The sequence below is a fragment of the Homo sapiens genome, chromosome 14 (genome assembly GCF_000001405.40).
Source record: "Homo sapiens chromosome 14, GRCh38.p14 Primary Assembly".
NCBI classification, from domain to species: domain Eukaryota; kingdom Metazoa; phylum Chordata; class Mammalia; order Primates; family Hominidae; genus Homo; species Homo sapiens.
Window position 1 is genome coordinate 54333402 of NC_000014.9, and position 20769 is coordinate 54354170.

The window sequence follows — 20769 nt, forward strand, 5'->3', positions numbered from 1 at the left end:
CACAATGAAAGAAATACTCAAAGCATGATTTATACACAGAATCAAACCCTAACTCTAAAACTAAAAATTTGTCAAGTAGCTGAAAATTAAATTAAGAATTTTTATTTTTTAAAAAAGACCTGCAAAATTGGTTACCCTAACCTCCCCCCATCCCCCGGCCCTTAGGAAATTCAGTGCCCAATGCTTCCCTATAAATAGTTGTCAATAAACACAACTGCTGCAAATGTATTCAGTAAATGTTAAGGTCAAAGGCCTTCACTGTTTATTGCCTTGTAAACTCAAAGACAAGTGAATTTATTGCTTGAATGAGTTTCAGGGTATTGGCCTTCATAAAAGTTCTGAATCCCAGGTACAAAATGCTCCATCAACTCACACCAAAGCTATTCTGCACAAAACTTAGAGACCGCCCACCACTGGATTCATAATTCAAACACGTCTTGGAAAGTGTATTGTTTGCCATGTTGCATAGATCCCCATGGATTAGTGCTGAATCGTGCCTGTCATTATTACAAGAACCGGCTTCAGCCAAACTATAAATTGTTGTTGCTTCTTAAATAATATCACATATTAGCCTACCAACGTAAACTCTCCAAAATACAATAGATGTCAAGAATGGAAGAGTTTCTAATTTTTTTCTAGCCTTCCCAGAAGGAAAATGTCCAAAAACTCCTTGATATAAAATTTGTCAAATTTAAAAGGAAAGGACAACTTTTATATCAGATCACATAAGAGTGTATGGGCTACTTCAGAAAATTAAATTTTCATATTATTCAAACACTAATTTTTTCAATGTTTCAACATGCCATTTGGCAGCTTTATATATCTGTGTAGCACCCTAGGAAAGCTTGCAAAAGGAGATCATAAGACAATTATTGGATATTGTTACCTTTAAAAATTCCTACAAAAGATTTAGGAAAGAAGTTCAAATTTGTAATTTAAAAATTGGTATATAATTATGTGCACATTTCATTGGTCTTTGTAAATATTTTCTTTACCATATAGATATTTTAAAGTTGAATTAATTTCTATGAATAAAGCCTAACTGTGGGCTCCAGGACTGTTGAGCTTTACCATCTTGATTGTGGACCAAAGCAATGTAATATACAAAGGCTACGGTAGTAATACCAGGAATGCCACATTTACCATGAAGTTCAAAATCAAATACCAAACTCAAACCACTGATGGTAAAAATAAAATTACCTAGACTTCTGATACTCTTTCTGTTGTGATAGCTATGGCTTCCAAGGAGTGTTGCTGAAATCCTCCCTTGTATAAGCCTGAATTAAAATGACATTAAATATCTTTCAACTGTCAAAATGTAGAGAATTTTTACATTTACACATATACTAATCACACTACAAAATGCAGGTTTGGGCTTACTGTTGGCTTAAGTCATTTTTTGACGTTACATGGGGAAAAGTTGAATTTTCCATCTAGTTTATCTCAGGTGAAGTACTAGATTATATCACTTCCATGCTTAACAAATTCCCTTCACCCTAACACATATTAAACTACTCTCCAATTTTCTATGAAGCATGGTCTTAATCAGGAATTCCTTCTCGTATATAAGATCATAATAACATAATTGGAAAATATTAAGGTACATTTTTCCTATTTCTAATCAAATGAGTTCAATGAAAATTAAATATATTAGATGACTTATAAAATATCCTATGCACAAAAGGAATGCATTCTTTAAGAAACATTTTGTAGGAATCTACTCTGCATTACTGAGATAATTAAGACAGGATCCCTGCTCTCAAGGAATTGAGAGACCAGCAGGGTGGGGAGTGTGGTGTGAAAACAAATGACCACAATGTCCTATGACAGCCACAGAGGGACTTCATATAACTGGCAGAGTTTAGAGGTGGCAAGGCAAAGCAGGAGGTGATAACTCTGCCTGTGCCTCCTTTTTCTTTTTTAATTACTAATACCTCATCACCCCATGAAATAGCCACATAATGAATTGACTGAAATCCAAATTATTTTCATGCAAAAAACCTTTCTGTTTACCTAGGACAAGATAGAAATAATAAATATTCATGGTGTTTACAAGTATGGAGTCTCTAAACAAGCTGAAGTGAATCATCTTTTAGAAGAATATAACTTCTGGAAGGTAGCATAAAAATTCTACTCCTTTTATTCTTTAAAATGATGTATACGTTGGGCATTTATTTTAGATATATGAAAACTATGTTCATGCTAAACCTGTACATGAATACTCATAGCAGCTTTATTCATAATAGCCCAAAACTGGAAACAACATAAATGTCTTTCAATGGGTAAATGATTAAACAAACTGTGGTACATTAATACCATGGAATATGACTCAGCAATAAAAAGGAGCAGACTATTGATAGGCATAATAACTGGAATGACTATCCAGGGATTATGCTGAGTCCAAAAACAAAAAAGCTAATCCTGAAAGATTACATAGTGTATGATTTCATTTATAAAACATTTGTGAAGTGACAAAATTTTAGGAATGGAGGACAGATTAGTAGTGGCCAGGGGTTAAGGAAAGGTGAGGGCATGGGCAGGATAGAGGTGGGTGTGGCTATAGAAGAGCAATGTGAAGGATCCTTGCAGTTATGGAACTGTTCAGGGTCTAGAAGTAGTGGTGAAACATGAACACACATGACAAGATTGTACAGAACTAAGCACATGAACACATATGCATGCACATATGCACACACACAGGTGAGCACAAATAAAACCGGGGAAGTCCGAACAAGATCAGTGGATTGTATTATTGTTAATACCCTGGTTATGATATTATACTATAGTTTTTTGCAAAATGCTACCACTGAGGGAAACTGGCAAAGATTATGTGGTATCTCTCTCAATATGATTTGGCTGTGTCCCCACACAAATCTCTAATCGTACTTCCCTTAATTCCCATGTTTCATGGGAGGGACCCCATGGGAGGTAATTGAATCATGACAGTAGGTCTTTCCTGTGCTGTTCTCGTGATAGTGAATACATCTCATGATATCTGATGGTTTTATAAAGGGGAGTCCCCTGCACAAATTCTCTTTGCCAGCCACCATGTAAGACATCTTTTTGTTCTTCCTTCATCTCCCACCATGATTGTGAGGCCTCCCTAGCCATGTGGAACCGTGAACCAATTAAACCTCTTTCCTTTATAAATTACCCAGTCTTGGGTATGTCTCTACTAGCAGCATGAAAATGGACTAATACATCTCTGTACTATTTCTTATAACTGCTTGTAAATCTAAAACTATCTCATTAAAACTTTAATTAAAAATATCTTAAGGCTGGGTGCAGGGACTCATGCCTGTAATCTCAGCACTTCAGGAGGCCAAGGCAGGAGGATCACTTGAGCCCAGGAGTTTGAGAACAGCCTGGGAAACATTTGAGATCATGTCTCCACAAAATATATTTTTTTTAAATATAACTGGGTGTGGTGGTGCATGCCTGTTGGCCCAACTACTTGGGAGGCTAAGGTGGAGGATCACTTGAGCCGTGATCGTGCCACTGCACTCCAGCCTGGGCGACAGTGAGACCCTGCCTTAAAAAAGAGAAAAATTAAAATTTTAAATTAAAAGTTATATGTGTGTGATATATTATTAAATTATATAGGCACAATGTGAGAGACTTCACTAGCATGGTACAATGTTAACATAAAAAGAAGAATGTCAGCTGTGATCCATCTATCTAGTCTTCTCAAAACTCCTAGCTCTGAGCTGGATTAGTCAAGGATAAAAGGACCTACCTTATAGGTCTTACCAACTATGTCTGAATACTGGTATTAATAGTAAGTCTGACTTTGATTTTTTAAGCAGCTTCTGAGGGACTATTCCTCATTCATGAACTTTGCTGGAGGGCAATGAGGAAGGTGAATTTAACTTTCAATCCATATTGATAGCCAGTATAATAGACAAAAGAATCCTCATTAACTAATTCACTACCTGGTACACTGCAGCTTTCAGTTTTTAAAATGACACTAAAACTAAGCCGCTGCAGGATATAAAGGCAACAATTGAACTAAAGTGACCTGCATCTAGAAATATGTTAATTACCTGATGCTGAAAACACGGAAGGGATTAGAGGGATTCCGAAGCGTTTGCTGAAACCTTGCATCGAGCCGAGTCCACGAGGGAGCTGAGCTCCTGACCACATTCTGACACCAGCAAAGGGCCGCTCTCTCTCTTACCCTTAGGCTCTTCAGGATCTAAAGCACTTTTGATAAAGATTGTTCCTATGATCAAGGCATTGATTATGCCTGTGTCTTTCAGCACAGGTAGAAATGTATTTCAGATAAGACAATTCCGCGTTTGAAAAGTGATCCACAGTCTTTCAGGTGAAAGACATCTCTGCAGAAACACTCTTTAGATTAAAGCCCCCTAAGAAGCAGAAAAGCTTTTAACATAGGGAGCCCCTTATTCACCATAAGTCCATGAAAAATGATGCTGTGCTGACCCTTTATTGACAAAACCAAAATGAGGTAAGCTTGTCTATGAACTGAAGGAAGAAAGATGGGACCAAAAAATGCTGTGAATAAAAGCCTATAATTCCAGCCTTCCCACCACAGCCTGTGTCACGAAGGTCCTTTGTTCATACGTAGTGTATACAAAGAAGAGGGAAAGCACAGTTTAAAACCAGAAGTTGATTAATTGGCTTTGGGAGCTTCACTCAACCTGAACTTGTTTCCTGAGCATCAAAATAGAAATCATGATTCCTCCCTTACCAAATTCACAGACTGTTAGGAGAATTCAATGAGAAAATATATTCAAAGGCTTTAAATTTTGAATCCACTGTACAAAGATAAAGGTTACTATTAATAGTCTAAAGGGGAGACGTATATTATTAAAAAATCAAGAGAGTACTCCCTAATTTGCATCCTGAAGTGTGCTTCTAAATCAAAACCCTACCTGAAGATTTGTTGATAAGGAGAAAAAAATGCAGGAAGAATATGTGTTTAATTGTTAAATCAGTTTTCTTTGAGAAAACTCATGATTTACCTAGAATTCTACTGAGTATGGTAGGTGATAGGAGAAAAAAAAAACTAGGATAATCATGAAATAATTTTGTCTAATGAGAGTCAATAGTCAAAGTGAGATTTCTGAAAGAATACCTCTATAATTCGTTGATCAACTGGTCAGTTTTCGTGTGACTGTATGGAAACCCCGCCATTGTTTGTTTGGTTGTTCTGTTGTGTTGTGTTGTGTTTGCATTATGCTGTTAGGTTTCGAGGACTGATGGTCCCATTTCACAAGTGAGAAAGGTGGAGACCAAAGGGAATCAAGGCTCACCAGCTTAGTACATACAGGCTGATTTCACATAATTAAAGTCAACACTCCTGCTTAAAGGAAACACCCGACAAGCAAGGTGCATCCATGAGCAGCCCGTGATCTTTGCCAGATTCTGAAAAGAGGCATATAGAAAAGCGCTTCTTTAGCTCAATAGGATTCCTTGCAAATTCAGGACAAACCTTCAGATCTGCCCAATGTCTTGGATGCACACGGTGGCTAAGCAACACTGCCTTCCAGTGGCAACAACATGTCTTAAGAAATCAAAAACCAGAGTAGGTTATGGTATTTCACCTTGGTAGTGCCTGTTTGTCCTTAAGGTCAAGGAAACACCGAAAGAGTATTTTCAAACCTTCAGTGTAGGCACTAATTTTAAATTTACATATTAATAATCTTTCTTAGCACTTGTTGAAAATGTTCAGAGCACCTTCCTCCCTTTAGTAGATGGTAATCCCACTCAGAGCAATTACGTTATTCAAATAACATCACAGCATAACTCTGTGGACTAAATTGAGTGCAGTAATACTGTATTTCATCATCAAAAGCATCACCAGTAGCCAGTGGTTCTGGATATAACAAAATCAAGCTGATGTCTGGCAAAGTGGTTGTTCAAAGATGTTTATGAACTTAAAGAATGTCCAATTTTTTCCTCACTAAAATCAGTCTACTCATTCCTTTCTCATATTTCTCTTAAATTCTCCAAAACACAGAATTGAAGATATTCAGTCCAGGCACAGCAGCTCACACCCATAATCCCAGCACTTTGGGAGGCCGAGACAGGAGGGTCACTTGAGGCCAGAGTTCAAAACCAGCCTAAGAAACTCTGTCTCTGCAAAAAAAATAATAATAATAATGATAAATAGCCAGTCATGGTGGCATGCACCTGTAGTCCCAGCAACTTGGGAGACTGAGGCAGGAGGATTACTGGAGCCCAGGAGTTTGAGGCTGTAGTGAGCTATGATCACACCACTGCACTGCAGCCTGGGTGACAGAGCAAGATCAAAAAAAAAAAAAAAAAGATAATCTGAGAAAGATTTATTGTGTGGCACTTTTTTAGTCCATGCTAACTAGGAAATGTCATTTCCACTTTGTCTCTTAGCCCAAAAATATCTTCTCTAATTATCCCCCACCCTGAATCCTCCATTCCCGCTGGCCTGTCTGAAACTTCACAGTGAGTTGATGGAATTTGTCCTCGTCTTGTTATCTATGACTTAACTGTCACCTTCCCTGTCTGTCTCATGGCAGGGCTTCTGTGTTTTGGGATCCACATCTTAAGTGCTACCATTATTTAGCTCAGCTCTTCCTGAGCTGCTGTTGCTACATAGATAGCTCCAGAATTTACATTTCTAAGGGGTCTGAGCTAGTTATACCAAAAGGCCTGCCCAGTTGGGGGTAGTCAGAAGAGTGATGCCAACACTGGAAAGATCTCCCATATCTGAGGGTATCACAGCACTCCTTGAAAGTTTTCTCACTGATAATCCCAACATCCTTGAGAAGAACTGAATAGCCTCATCTAGCAACTGGAGGGGGAAACTGAGACATACAGAAGTTTCATAAGTGTCTCAACAGGGGATTGGTCAAAATGCAATAAATCATTTTGCAGCATAAAATGCAACCATTAAAATAATGATTCGGATAAATATTTATTGAGGTAGAAAGATGGCTACAATACCATTAAAGAGACAAAAAAAAAACAGGTCACCAGACTTAATGCACCACGTGATTGTCTAGTAAATGTGTGTGTTTGCACACACTCATGCACAGAAGCACCACTGATCTAAAGCTACCCACATACAATCCCTATTAGTCCTACCAATAGCCATTCAGTTATTCTCAAACAGAAAACAAACAAACAAACAAACAAAAAACCCTAAGTAAACTGAGTTATTGGGTTTTTTTAAATAAAAAAAGCTTTGAAAACAAGTTCTCTAGCCCTAGTGGTGTGCTGGTAAATGTTTCACAACTAGTTCGCTAGGGAAAAAAGCTCTGATTTGTAGCTTCTGCCAACTTCTATACTGTAAACACCCTCAACAGGATTAATTTCAAACTCCCAAATTGATGTTACCAAACATAGTGTTGGGAAGAGATGCTCACAATAGGCTCAACTACCCTTGAATGTGGGCCAGCTTCAGTGACCCACTGCCTTGCTCCCACATTCAAACAAAGCATAATGTTGTAGGCCCCTCTTACATAAAATATACCACAGAATACTGTATATGTTTTAGGTGGCTTTTCTTTTTTATTGTCAATCTGTATTTTCTACCTCTTCAAAAAAGACTGTATGTTTTCTGTTTACTTAAATTTAAAAAGAAACTGTTTCTTTTATTACCTTGAGGTGGAGAAGGTCATTGTAACTATGACACAAAACCCAGAAGCCATAGATAAATTCGATAAATTCAACTACATAAAACTAAAGCCTTTTACATGGTGAAAAAGCCTTTAAAAGCAAAGTGAAAACAAATGACAAACTGCAAAAAAAAAAAAAAAAAGTGCAACCTGTTTTTCAGAAACACCATCTACTCTCACCAACATATAATCACTTTGCAACTGACAACCTGATAGACAAATAAGCAAGTATTTGAATAGACATTCAAAAAGAAAGCAAAAAAGAGATGATTCTTAAAGAATAGGTCCCCCATTCCCATAAAAGGAAAAATGCTATGTAAAATTTACATGGAGATGCCATTTGTTTAACCTCTCAGATTGGTAAAGATTCAGAAATTTTGAATGCACATTCTGCGAGTTAGGGCTGTGTTGGGAGTTTAAATTGGGACAAACTCCATGGAGAGTGTGGCCATCTGAATAATGACCCCACAAAGATGTCCACATGCTACTCCCTGTAACCTGTGACTATATTACCTTACATGGCAAAAGGAACTTTGCATAAGTGATTAAAGTTGCAGATCTAAAAATGGAGAGTGTGTCCTGGATTATCCAGGTGAGCCCAATATCATCATAATGCTCTTTACAAAAGTGGGGCAGGAGTGTCAGAGCCAGCAGAGCTGTGATAACAGAAGCAGTGGCCAGAGAAAGAGAGATTTGCAGATGCCACACAGCCAGCCTTAAAGATGGAGGAAGAGATCGCAAGCCAAGGAATGCAGGTAGCTTCAAGAATCTGGAAAAGGCAAGGAAATGGATTCTCCCCTAGAGCCTCCAGAAGGAGCACAGCCCTGCCACATCTTGGTTTGAGGACTTTAGGCCTCCAGAATTGTAAGATAATAATTTTGTGCTGTTTAAAACCACTGCATTTGTGGTAATTTGTTGTAGCAGCTATGGGAAACTAACATGGAGAACAACTTGGCAAACTACAAATGTATGCATGTACTCTGGCCCAACAGCTCCGTATCTAGGAATTTAACCTAAGGCATTCACATAAATACAAATAATGCATGTACTGCATTGCTGTGTGTAACAGCAAACAATTGGAATCCACATAAATGTTCATCAAAAGGAAGCTGATTAAATGATGGGGCTGGGCACAGTGGCCCATACCTATAATCCCAGCACTTTGGGAGGCCAAGGTGGGCAGATTGCTTGAGCCCAGGAGTTCAAGACCAGCCTGGCCAACATAGCAAAACCTCACCTCTACAAAAAATACAAAAATTAGCCAGGGGTGGTGGCACATGCCAGTAGTCCCCGCTACTGGGGAGGCTGAGGTGGGAGGATTACCTGAGCCTAGAAAGTCGAGGCTACAGTGAGCTGAGATCACGCCACTGCATTCCAGCCTGGGTGATAGAGCCAGACCCTGTCTCAAATAAATAAATAAATAATGATATGACCACACAATGCAGCCATTAAAAAAATAATAAGTTTTTTATGCTGTGGTATGAGAAGATCTCCAAGATATTGGAGGTGAAGAAAAGAAGACGCTTTTACTGCAATGAGCACAGTGGGTCCAATATGCTGACAGCTGTGTAGAAATCGGGAAGAGGGAGGATATATACTTATTTGTGTATCTATGCATAAATATCTCTAGAAGGAAAAATAAGAAACTAATAGTATGTGTTGCCTACAAGAGAAGGAACTGGATGGCTGAACAAGAAAAGGGAAAGGGAGACTTCTTACTGTATACCTTTCATGTTTTATTGAAATCTCTGTAAGTAATATGAATAGATTACCCATTCAAAAATGTAAATAAAAACAAAAAGATTACAAACTAAACAAGAAAGAGATTATGTAACTTGGCCACCCACCCAGCCAGTAAAGACACCATGATCACCAGTGGGCCTTTACAGAACCTTTCATTGTTTTTGAGGTTGGCTGTGCCATGAATTCCAATCATCTAGAACCACAGGAGTGAATGCAGGGTGTGGCCTAAGGAGCAGGGTGAGAGCGCGATGTGGTAGTCTGATGGGATGTGGATGAAGGTCTGTGGTTAGCTAAAGCAGAGTTAACCTTACATTGTCTCTAAGTCAGGGCAGGAATTCTTCCTAAGTCCCTTCCGAGACCCTGTCCAGCCACAGAAACTCTATGAGCTGGGTTGCCAGATTCAAAAATGAAACTACAGGATGACCAGTTACATTTGAATTCCAGATAAACAAAAATAATTTGAAAGCATTTGCTGTTTATCTGAAATTCAAATATAACTGGGCATCCTGTATTTTATTCAGCACCTCTACGTGTAAGGAGCCCCATGGCCTGGGGAGAGAGGCAGTGCAGCACACGAAGGCCAGCATGCAAGGCCAATGGGTCACAGCCTCCATGTCACAGCTACCGAAACTGTCCCTTACAGAGACTCTGAACACGTCCTTCTGACAGGTAGGAATAGAGAGAGGAGGGCTGCGTGGTAAAGTCACCGGCCGACAACAAAGTTACAGGGCTCCAAGTTAAAGTCAGTCTCTCAGCTCATTTCTGGCCCTGGAGCTTCTCCTGAAGGTGCTGTACGGAATGCTCTAGAAGAAGTTTGGAATGGGGGTGGGGCATGTCAGGCAACCCAGAGAAATGTTCTCCCAGCCCAGGTAATAAACGTACCCCTTTCCCCAAAGTACCGTTAAAGATGTTTAAAAAAAAATCTTAAAGAAAAAAAAAAAAAACCCTTTAAGCTGACCTCCTGCCAAAGTACACATCAATTATACAGCTTCAGTCAGGCGGATGCTCGAGGAAAGGGGATCATGTTACACCCAGCTGGGCACTTTGTAGTTAGCACAAATGTAATATAAAGCGCAGCAGAGTTCATCAAGTGTCTGTCTGGATTTTCAGTTTTCATTAGTGCTATAATTAAAACCACATTTTCAGCTCTATTACCTGTAACAAGAAAGGAATGAGAAATGAGCTTGTCAAGGTCAGGCTTTTCCAGCTATTTATACTGAGGATCTGCAGGCCACAAGTTGTTGCATTTGGTGTAAACCAGAGCGACCGGCCAAATGTCGCACTCCAATCCATCCTGTGTGGCTTGAAAGGCACGCTCATGAGGTCATTTCCTTTGAGTGGCCACTGGGTCGCAGATGTCCACACGGCACCAAGGACCGGGAAAGATGGGTGATCAGGTAAATCCACCCTGGGCCATGGAGGGGTTTTCTCTCCCATTATGATCAAATTGGTTTCACCTCCTACAACAGCCCCCAAAGGCAGTTCTCAGACACTCGTGTTGAGGGCAGAAATCCTAAAGTCTAAAGACCATCCCCTTCCAACCTTGATGTGAGGTTGTGCAGGAGAGGGCTGGATGGGAAGGTACATTTTAAACCTCCCCTGTTCAACAACACACACACACACACACACACACACACACACACACACACACACACTTCACAGTCCTCACTCTAGGCCGCAGATCCTTTCAGCCTGAACTTCCAGGCAGATATAGAACCCAGCCACTTCTCCCCAACACGCTGGTCCCTGGTACCACCATCTCTCCCCTGGATTCCAGGAAGAGTCTCCCTGATTCTGCCCGGCTCTCCCCTCCACCCTCCCACACACACCCCACCGTCTGTCCCAGCAGAGCAGCCAGACCGTGTCACTCCTCCACACAAACCCCTCCACTGGCTTCCGGATCTCTCAGATTAGAAGCCAGGCCTCACAGTGGTGCTGGGGCCCCACTCCCTCTGGCCTCCTATTGGTCCTGGTCTTCTCTCACTGCACTTCCCCCCATGCTCCTCCTCCCCACTCTGTCCCAGGCCGTCTGGCCTCTGGGGTCCTCAGACACAGCAGCCACAGTCCTTCCTCAGAGGCTTTGCACTTGCTGTGCCGTCTGCCCGGAGTTCCCTTCCTCCTGTTATCCTCATGACTTGCTCTTCACTCAAAAGGCACCTTTTATACAGGGAGGCCTTCCCTGACCACCCTACATCACAGTACAAGCCACCAGCACCCCTAACCCCTACCCCCCTTAACCCCCACCCCACTGACCACGGCATTCCCCATTTCCTCTCTCACCTTTATTTTTCCTCATGGCACTTATCACTATCTGGTCTACAACATACTACTTTACTTCTTTATTTTCTTTAGATGTCTGTCTCTTCTCACTCCCAGAATGTAAATTTCTTGAGGACAGAGATTTTTGTCTGTTCACTGCTGTATCCCCACTACTTAGAAGAGCCCTGGCATGTAATAAACAGTCAGCAGGTATTTGTTGAATGGATGAATACAATCCAGAGACGGCTCAAGCTAGCACCAAGTGGGCCTTCTGTGGGTGAATAATCACTTACTCCCTGAGATCCACCCAGTGAGAAAGTGCAAAGACCATCTGCTCTTCTACCCACCAACCCAAAGGTGGGTCTCTGACAAGTGCTTGGTCTCCGGGCAAACTCAAGATGGCTGAGACACATCTTTCTCCACCAGAACCACCCTTGGAGAGCCGACTGGTCATCCCTTACAGTAGATGAGATCCAGACTCCCCTCACCTTGTAGGAGGTAGAATGCCCTCCCAACAACACTGCCCTCCTTGCCTTCCAGCCTAGATCCTAGGTGAACTGGACCTGAGCACTGAGTACCTCACCTTGATGGTTATATCAACTTGGCTGGGCCACAGAGCCCAGATATGTGGTCAAACATTATTCTGGATGTTTCTGTGAAAGTGGTTTTGGATGAGATTTACATTAAATGAGTGGACTTTGAGTAAAGCAGAATGCCCTCCATAATATGGGTGGGCCTCATTCAATCAGCTGAAGGCCTAAATGGAACAAAAGACTGACCTTTCCTGAGCAAGTATAAATCCTGCAGCAGACAGCCTTCAGACTTGAACCACAGCACTGGCTCTTCCCAGGTTATCTAGCCTACTGGTCCACCCTGTAAATTTGGGACTTCCAGCTTCTGTAATCACATAAGCCAATTCTTCAAAAATCAATCTCTTTAAATATATATACACATATATATACACACATATATATACATATATATGAATATATATACATATATACACATATATACATATATACACACACATATACATATATACACATATATACATATATACACATATATATACATATATATACACATATATATATATACATATATATACACATATATATATAAAACATATCATGTATTAGTTATATTTCTCCAGAGAACTCTGACTAATACACATGGCTAAGCTGTTGAGATGTAGTTCTCCTGGGAGTCAACCCTCCTGCAGGAAACCAAGTTCTTCCAAGGGCCATCTGCTCTGGAAGCATGAGCTTCCATCTCATGCCTCTTCCTTTCATCCATGCGCAAAGACTTATACAGCCCCCTGGCATTCCCAGGACACCTTGCTGGTCACTTCCCAAACTAAAGGGCAGAAAAGAATCCCATATAACAAAAACTGTTGCTCAGCTGCTATACTAGGAACTCAAGGAAACATTTCTTTGTCTATGATGTCATCGTAAACAATCTTACCAGGAGCAATAATATTCATATGCCGCATGCAAACATCACACCGTCACTTCGTGCTAACACTTGACTGAAGTCTGAGAGGCTGAAGAAAGAGCAGAATAGTTAAGAGCATGAGCCCTGGAGGTCTAACTGCTGGGACTCCAGTCTCCACTCTGCCACAAACTAGCTGAGTAAAATGTGCCAATTCCCTTAACCTCAATTCTCTCATCTTTAAAATGGGATGCAATAATTATACCTATTTCACAGGACTGTAATAAAACCAAGTGGAAAAAATACAAGTGAAGCACATATCCCTGTGCCTGACATACGGCCCATGCTCTGTAAAGGTTACTGGTATTTATTGCTGCAGCAAGAAGCCCAGGCCTTAAAGAGTCTTCTACAAATGCACGCAGTACTCTGAAGAAGGTGATTAAATCAGTTATGACTCTGTGGGTTGCAAGTGAAAAGCAGAAAATCCTTCAAAAGATATAGAGCCCTCAAGAACTCTTGGAGGGCATGCTACCACAGACGAGTCTCTTCCACAGTAGCCCCAGAAGTGGTTGCACCACCACATAGATTGGATCCTATGGTGAAAGGCTGGGCTCACTTTAAGGCTGGGCAGACTGAATTGTGAAGAAACTCTGCGACTTATTCATAGATTGTGAGAATAAATGGTAAACAAGTAAATGAGCAAATACATCCATGCCAGGAAGGAAACAAACAGGGTGCTTTAACATTTAAAAAGAAGTGGGTGTGTCATACCCAGCACAGGCAATTCCATACAGACAAGACGGTAGATGAGTGGATGCCAGAGGCTGGGAGGAATGCGAGGTGGGCCGTGACTTCTTCATGGTATGAGGTTTCTTTTGGGGACAATGGAAATGTTCTGAAGTTAGATAGTGGTGATGGCCGTATAATATTGTGAATATACCGAAAACCATTGAATCGTACACTTTTAAATGGTGAATGTGGTGTTTTGTGAAATCTTATGTGAATTATATCACAATTAAATTTTTAATTAAAAAAGAAAAGCTGGCTGGGGCCGGGCCTATTTTAGATGAGGTAGTCAAAAAAGTTCCCTCCAAGGGGTTTCTATGACCAGAGGACTGAGAAATGGGAAGGAGCCAGCCTTTGGAAGATGCACGGAAGAGCTCACTGTGCAGATGGAAGAGCAAATGCAGATGCCACAGAGTGTGCCCCGCTTGGCAAGGTCCATGTGCTGTCCCAGATTCGGCCCCTGGGAAGGAAGAGAGAAAGAGAGCTTGAAGTGTAGGAAGAAGCTATATCCTAGAAGGCCTTGGTAGGGCACAGTAAGAAGTGGGGAGTTCATGCTAAATGAAATTGAAACCCACAGAAGGCTTTTCCGCAAAGGAGTGCCCACCCCACTTGCCATTTTTGGAAGATCGCTCCCAGCTCCCAGCACGCAAAGCACCCATTACCAAGTGGCAGGACCAACACAAGGTATGAGACATTGATGAGATTCATTCTCATTAGTTGGAAGCTTCTGCACTTTCAACAAAACTGTAACCAGGGGCTACGAATTAGATGATGAGCTTATTCTTAAGAAGACATGTTATAAAAGGTAATATGAAACAATATGGATTTCTTGTCTATTCCAAAAGGCACCTTCTCTCTTTCCCCATAAAATACTTGGTAATAAAAGGATACTCTGTCACCTCCCAGCTTCCTGGAGTGACAATGGCAATGCTGTCATTATTAAGTCAAGAGCGCCCTCTACAGTTATGAGTCTAGATTACAGCTTACTATTAGCCTCGAACAATGTCTACTTTTGTGAAAAATTACCATCCCCTCAGCTCATGCCATCCATGATAAGCTAGTCCCACCAACTCTTTCCTGAAAACTGAAGGAAAATATTCAAAGGAAGTGACATTGGCAGCTTTCTTGGATGACTGAAATGTCAACACAAATGTGTCGGCTCTTTGGAGTAACAGTCTCCATAGGCCAAAAGGAGGATGGTCGGGTGTATGTGTGTGTGTACAATATACATCTATCTACTCACTGCTAATCAATATTTGATCTCATTATGTAACTGGAAAAAGAGAACATGTGTTTGATCACTTTGTGATTATCAAAATACTTGATATCAAGTCGGTGAAAAGTACTTCAAAAATGTAGAAGTTTATTATCTTGCCATAAAATAATAGAACAAAGAGGCAAGGGACTGGCTTCCATTGGCCCAGTGACAGCAGCAGGAGGCTAGGAGAAGCTCAACCAACAGCTGAGCAGTAGTATGGACGGGTTGAAAAAGCAATTGATATTTGGGAGGAAGGCTTTGACCAAAAAAGTGGGGAGATGGATGGAACCATGAAAATCGCATGAAAAAGTGCGAGAAGCTTTTTTAAAAATTCCCCAGGAGAGGGATTTTAAAAAGAATACCCAGAGAGAGGCGCCTGTGAGCAGCTGGAGAGGACAGGGAGGACTATTTGTCTAGGAAATTAGAGCTGTTAGGCAGAGCTGAACTGCCTAGAGAATGGGAAATCATAATTTGTGAAACGCTTTTATTGCACCCCGCCATGGTGGATTCCTTGTCCCAAATATTCTTACGCAAAATTTATTCGGGAAGGAGAAAGAAAGGGCATGCGAGTTCAGAACCTGTCTCACGCCTCTAAAACTTCCAGGCCACCTTCAGTACAAAGAATGGGGGGAATGTCCGGGCGAGCCACGGGAGGCGTTGGGGAGAGGGGAAAACGGATTCCTTCCTGCCGTTCTGCTTCCACTGATTAATACAGCCATTAAAAAATGAAATCTGTTCCTTAGACAAAATATGGTGAAACATTCCTGCGCGCTCCATCCTTGAAACAGATTTCAGTATTGGCCTGTCTTCTCAGTGTTTGTTTTGGTTCCTTCAGCCCACGCTGGAGTCCATGGGTTTTTTCCTTCACTCATCATCTCGCCTCCTGCTGCTTCAGCCGAGAATGAAGTAATAATTCAGCAAGCTGTTCAGGACTTCCCATCAGCCCAACTGCACCGCGCCGTGTTTTGAGGGCTCAGGCATCCTTGAACTCCACGGCAGAGCAAGCCGCGGGAAGGAACTCACTCATGTTGGCTCCCTTGCCTCAATTAAGGCAGTTTAGGAAGCAAAGTGAGAGAAGCACTTTAAAAAGCACAAGAATATCTCCTCGTGGGTCCTCACTTGCATGTTCTTACGAAGCCGGATTGTTCGTAGCCTACTCTGCAATTTCAGAGTGGTGAGTGGCTCCAAAGCAGCTTACAAGGAAACATAACTGTCACAGAGGCTAAGAGATTGCTTAAAAATAAATTACTGATTCTCTTTTCCTGAGAGCAACCTGCTGTGACCTTTGGAAGGCTTCTTTTGGGTCTTCAATTTTGCATCTGCCTGAGCTAAAAGGGATTGCCAGAGTCCCACTGTTTGGTTTATGACCCAGCTCATCCCTGTCCCTTGGAGGACGTGAGGACATGAGCCTGGCATTAGTGCACACTGTAAATGTGTTTGTGCCCAGAACTCTCTAGAATAGAAAGGTTTCCAAGTACTTCACTATAATGACTTAGTCACAAATGAATTTTAATATGCTAGAAGAACATGAGTATTTTGGATGAAAAGCCAATCTTTTCGTCCCCCCTTTTAAAATAGAAAGAAGCATAGCATCTGAGCTCTGTGGAAGGGACCATCCAAAACTAATGAAATACCATCTTAACGTAAGCACCTAAAGCAAGCATGTGTGCGCCATGGGGGCCTCAGTCCTGGTGGTTTCCTGGAGAAGATTTCACATGAGAGAGAAAAAGCTTCTCTGTTCCCTGATGCAGTGTGGATATTTTTAAATGGACTTTATGCGTTTTTTGTTTATTTGGTTTGGTGCTGAAAAATTAGACAAGGCACTCAGCTCTCTTCACATGACTAAAGTTTGAACTTGTGCATAATGAGTGCAAAATAGTGTCTGAAAATAGCAAAGAACAGAAGAGTAAGATGATCAGCGGGAAGGGAGGCAGCACGTCATAGGGAAGGCAGCCAGTACTCTGAAAAGCAATCCAACAAATAATTAACTGGTTGAAAGCCAAGAGGACAGTATGATAACAGACACTGATAGACACTAATTATAAGTGCAGTACTGTGAAACATGAAGAAATGATATGGTTAACAATCCTAAAAATGTTACAATGGGCAATGTAAGATGAGCAAGGAAGCTACAAGGAACACTCTATCGTGTTATATTTTGGCTGCTAATTTCTAGCAATAACACATTTATAATGATATGCTATTAACAAATTGACCAATACATCTTTTTTTTTTTTTTTTTTTTTTGGAGACAGGGTCTCGCTCTGTCGTCCAGGCTGGAGTGCAGTGGCACAATTTTGGCTCACTGCAAGCTCCGCCTCCCGGGTTCACGCCATTCTCCTGCCTCAGCCTCCCGTGTAGCTGGGACTACAGGTGCCTGCCACCACGCCCAGCTAAATTTTTGTATTTTCAGTAGAGACACCGTTTCACCGTGTTAGCCAGGATGGTCTTGATCTCCTGACCCCGTGATCCACCCACCTTGGCCTCCCAAAGTGCTAGGATTACAGGCGTGAGCCACTGTGCCCGGCCGACCAATACATCTTTTGAACCACTGAAAAGGTTGGCTGAACAGAAAAGTATTTTTGCATGTAATATATATGGAAAGGAAAGAGAGAGTGTCAGATTATAGGAAGAGTTACACTGAGTCAAGCCCATCAAGGTACAAGGTTGAAGGTAAGATCCCAGGTGAAAGCCAGGCACGGTGGCTCATGCTTGTAATCCCAGCACTTTGGGAGGCTGAGACAGGATCACTTGAGCCCAGCAGTTCAAAACCAGCCTGGGCAACCTAGTGAGACCTTGTCTCTACAAAAACTAAACAAAATTAGCCAGCAATGGTAGCTCTCACCTGTGGTCCTAGCTACTCAGGAGGCTGAAGTGGGAGGATCACTTCAGCCGGGCAGGTCAAGGCTGCAGTGAGCTGTGATCATGTCACTGTACTCTGTCTCAAAAAAAAAAAATAAAAGTGTTCCTACTTCTCCACATCCTCTCCAGCACCTGTTGTTTCCTGACTTTTTAATGATTGCCATTCTAACTGGTGTGAGATGGTATCTCATTGTGGTTTTGATTTGCATTTCTCTGATGGCCAGTGATGATGAGCATTTTTTCATGTGTTTTTTGGCTGCATAACTGTCTTCTTTTGAGAAGTGTCTGTTCATGTCCTTTGCCCACTTTTTGATGGGGTTTGTTTTTTTCTTGTAAATTTGTTTGAGTTCATTGTAGATTCTGGATATTAGCCCTTTGTCAGATGAGTAGGTTGCAAAAATTTTCTCCCATTTTGTGGGTTGCCTGTTCACTCTGATGGTAGTTTCTTTTGCTGTGCAGAAGCTCTTTAGTTCAATTAGATCCCATTTGTCAATTTTGGCTTTTGTTGCCATTGCTTTTGGTGTTTTAGACATGAAGTCCTTGCCTGTGCCTATGTCCTGAATGGTAATGCCTAGGTTTTCTTCTAGGGTTTTTATGATTTTAGGTCTAACGTTTAAGTCTTTAATCCATCTTGAATTGATTTTTGTATAAGGTGTAAGGAAGGGATACAGTTTCAGCTTTCTACATATGGCTAGCCAGCTTTCCTAGCACCATTTATTAAATAGGGAATCCTTTCCCCATTGCTTGTTTTTCTCAGCTTTGTCAAAGATCAGACAGTTGTAGACACGCGGCATTATTTCTGAGGGCTCTGTTCTGTCCCGTTGATCTATATCTCTGTTTTGGTACCAGTACCATGCTGTTTTGGTTACTGTACACATGGACACAGGAGGGGGAACATCACACTCCGGGGACTGTTGTGGGGTGGGGGGAGAGGGGAGGGATAGCATTGGGAGATACATCTAATGCTAGATCACGAGTTAGTGGGTGCAGCGCACCAGCATGTCAATGTATACATATGTAACTAACCTGTACATTGTGCACATGTACCCTAAAACTTAAAGTATAATAAAAAAAAATTAATAAAAGATCCCAGGTTACTCCCCAGATGCAAAGACCCTATAAAGCCTTCCTAAAATAACCAGTCTTATCATCTCAATTGGCTGATGCTTAACGTGCAGTCAACAATTTTTTTTTTTTTTTTTTTTTTTTTTAAGAGACTGAGTCTCGCTTTGTTGCCAGGCTGGAGTGCAGTGGCATGATCTCGGCTCACTGCAACCTCCACCTCCCAGGTTCAATTGATTCTCCTGCCTCAGCCTCCCAAGTAGCTGGGACTACAGGTGCGTGCCACCATGCCTGGCTAATTTTTCTATTTTTAGTAGCAACGGGGTTTCACCATGTTAGCCAGGATGGGCTCCATCTCCTGACCTCATGATCTGCCTGCCTCAGCCTCCCAAAGTGCTGGGATTACAGGCATGAGCCACCGCGCCTGGCCGCAGTCAACACTTATTTCATCTTTAGCTTTATTGGCAACATTAGGGACTGTCAAAAGTTTGAATATGTCTTAAATTGAAAGCTCCAAAGGGCAGGAAGTCTGACTTCCTGGTTCACTTGTCAATACCACAGAACTACCATAGGTAAGTTTTTCCAACAATGTATTTTCTGTCACTTTTTGTTTTTCAGTTTGTTTGTTCGTGGTATGTAGGTATGCATTTTGCAGACAATGAGAGCAAACATTTACTGAATGCTTGCTGTGTGCCAGGCACCATCCTAAATTCTGTGCACACATTACCTTATTTAACCCTCACAGTAACCTTCATGGGGAGGTACTATGACCACCTCCCTCTTTGCCAGCTGAAACGACTGAGGCACACAGAGGCTAGTAAGTCTGCCACTCCTCATCTCTATCAAGTTCCAATTCCAACTGCTGGCAGAAATTACACTCCTAGCTAACTCCAGGTACGTTAGCAGTTTCAAATTTAAAAACAGTTCAGCATTTCCTCCTCCTCCTCCTCTTCTCAAGGTCGTTTCTAAGCTCTTGGGGACTTGTGTAGCACTGTGACACCCGGAAAAGGCATCTCCTCCCTTGTGGCCATCATCTGCCTTACACTGGCAACTGCTGAGATGTTCTGCTCAGTTTGGTCCTCAGATCTGATGACCCTCCAGAGCCAGCATGTGCTGGGGGAGCTGAATTCCTATCTCGTCTCCAGCCACAAAGTGAGCACTCAAAATGCTGGTCTTTCTACCAAGGGACACCTTCAGGCCCACCTGCCCTCACGCTTCCTCTTGGCTAATTCGCAAGCCCTTCTTGAGTGATATGAAACTGTGCTCTTCCAAGGGCAGGAAACCAGGTAGGTTGTTGGCTGTGTTGATACCTACGCTCCTTGTCTTTACTTGTATGAGGCATCCCACCAGTGTGGGAGGGAAGCCCCAGAGCATGGCATGCTGTCCCAGAACTCATCCTGGACATCATCTCAAGCTCCCTCTGCCCTTGTGTGCCCATGTGGATCTCAATGTCCCAGTGTTACACAGTTTGTTACCTCTTGGCTTTCAGCCAAAGCACCACAATGTAGCAGTCTCTTTGTGAGGTATCACCCAGAGTTCTTTGTCTCACAACCAAGAAAATTAAGGAGTGTGGACACAAAGGGCGAGGTTGGAGTGCAAGTTTAATAAGTGAAAGAAGAGAGGGCCCAAAAGAGGTGTTGCCATGGAAAGAGGGCCCAAAAGAGGAGTTGCCGTTTTTACAGTTGAATCCAAAAGCTTTTATGAGAAACTCTCCTCATCTCTGCAGCTGTTTGTGTAACTTCCCTTATC

General features: G+C 41.8%; 1 annotated feature.

The window, feature by feature from the left end:
• Window positions 6316–6837: an enhancer, noted in NCBI's record as "NANOG hESC enhancer chr14:54806435-54806956 (GRCh37/hg19 assembly coordinates)". NCBI's record gives its function as "activates a minimal SCP1, AML or CMV promoter by ChIP-STARR-seq in primed H9 embryonic stem cells {active_cell/tissue: H9 hESC(primed)}" and the evidence as "EXISTENCE:reporter gene assay evidence [ECO:0000049][PMID:30033119]".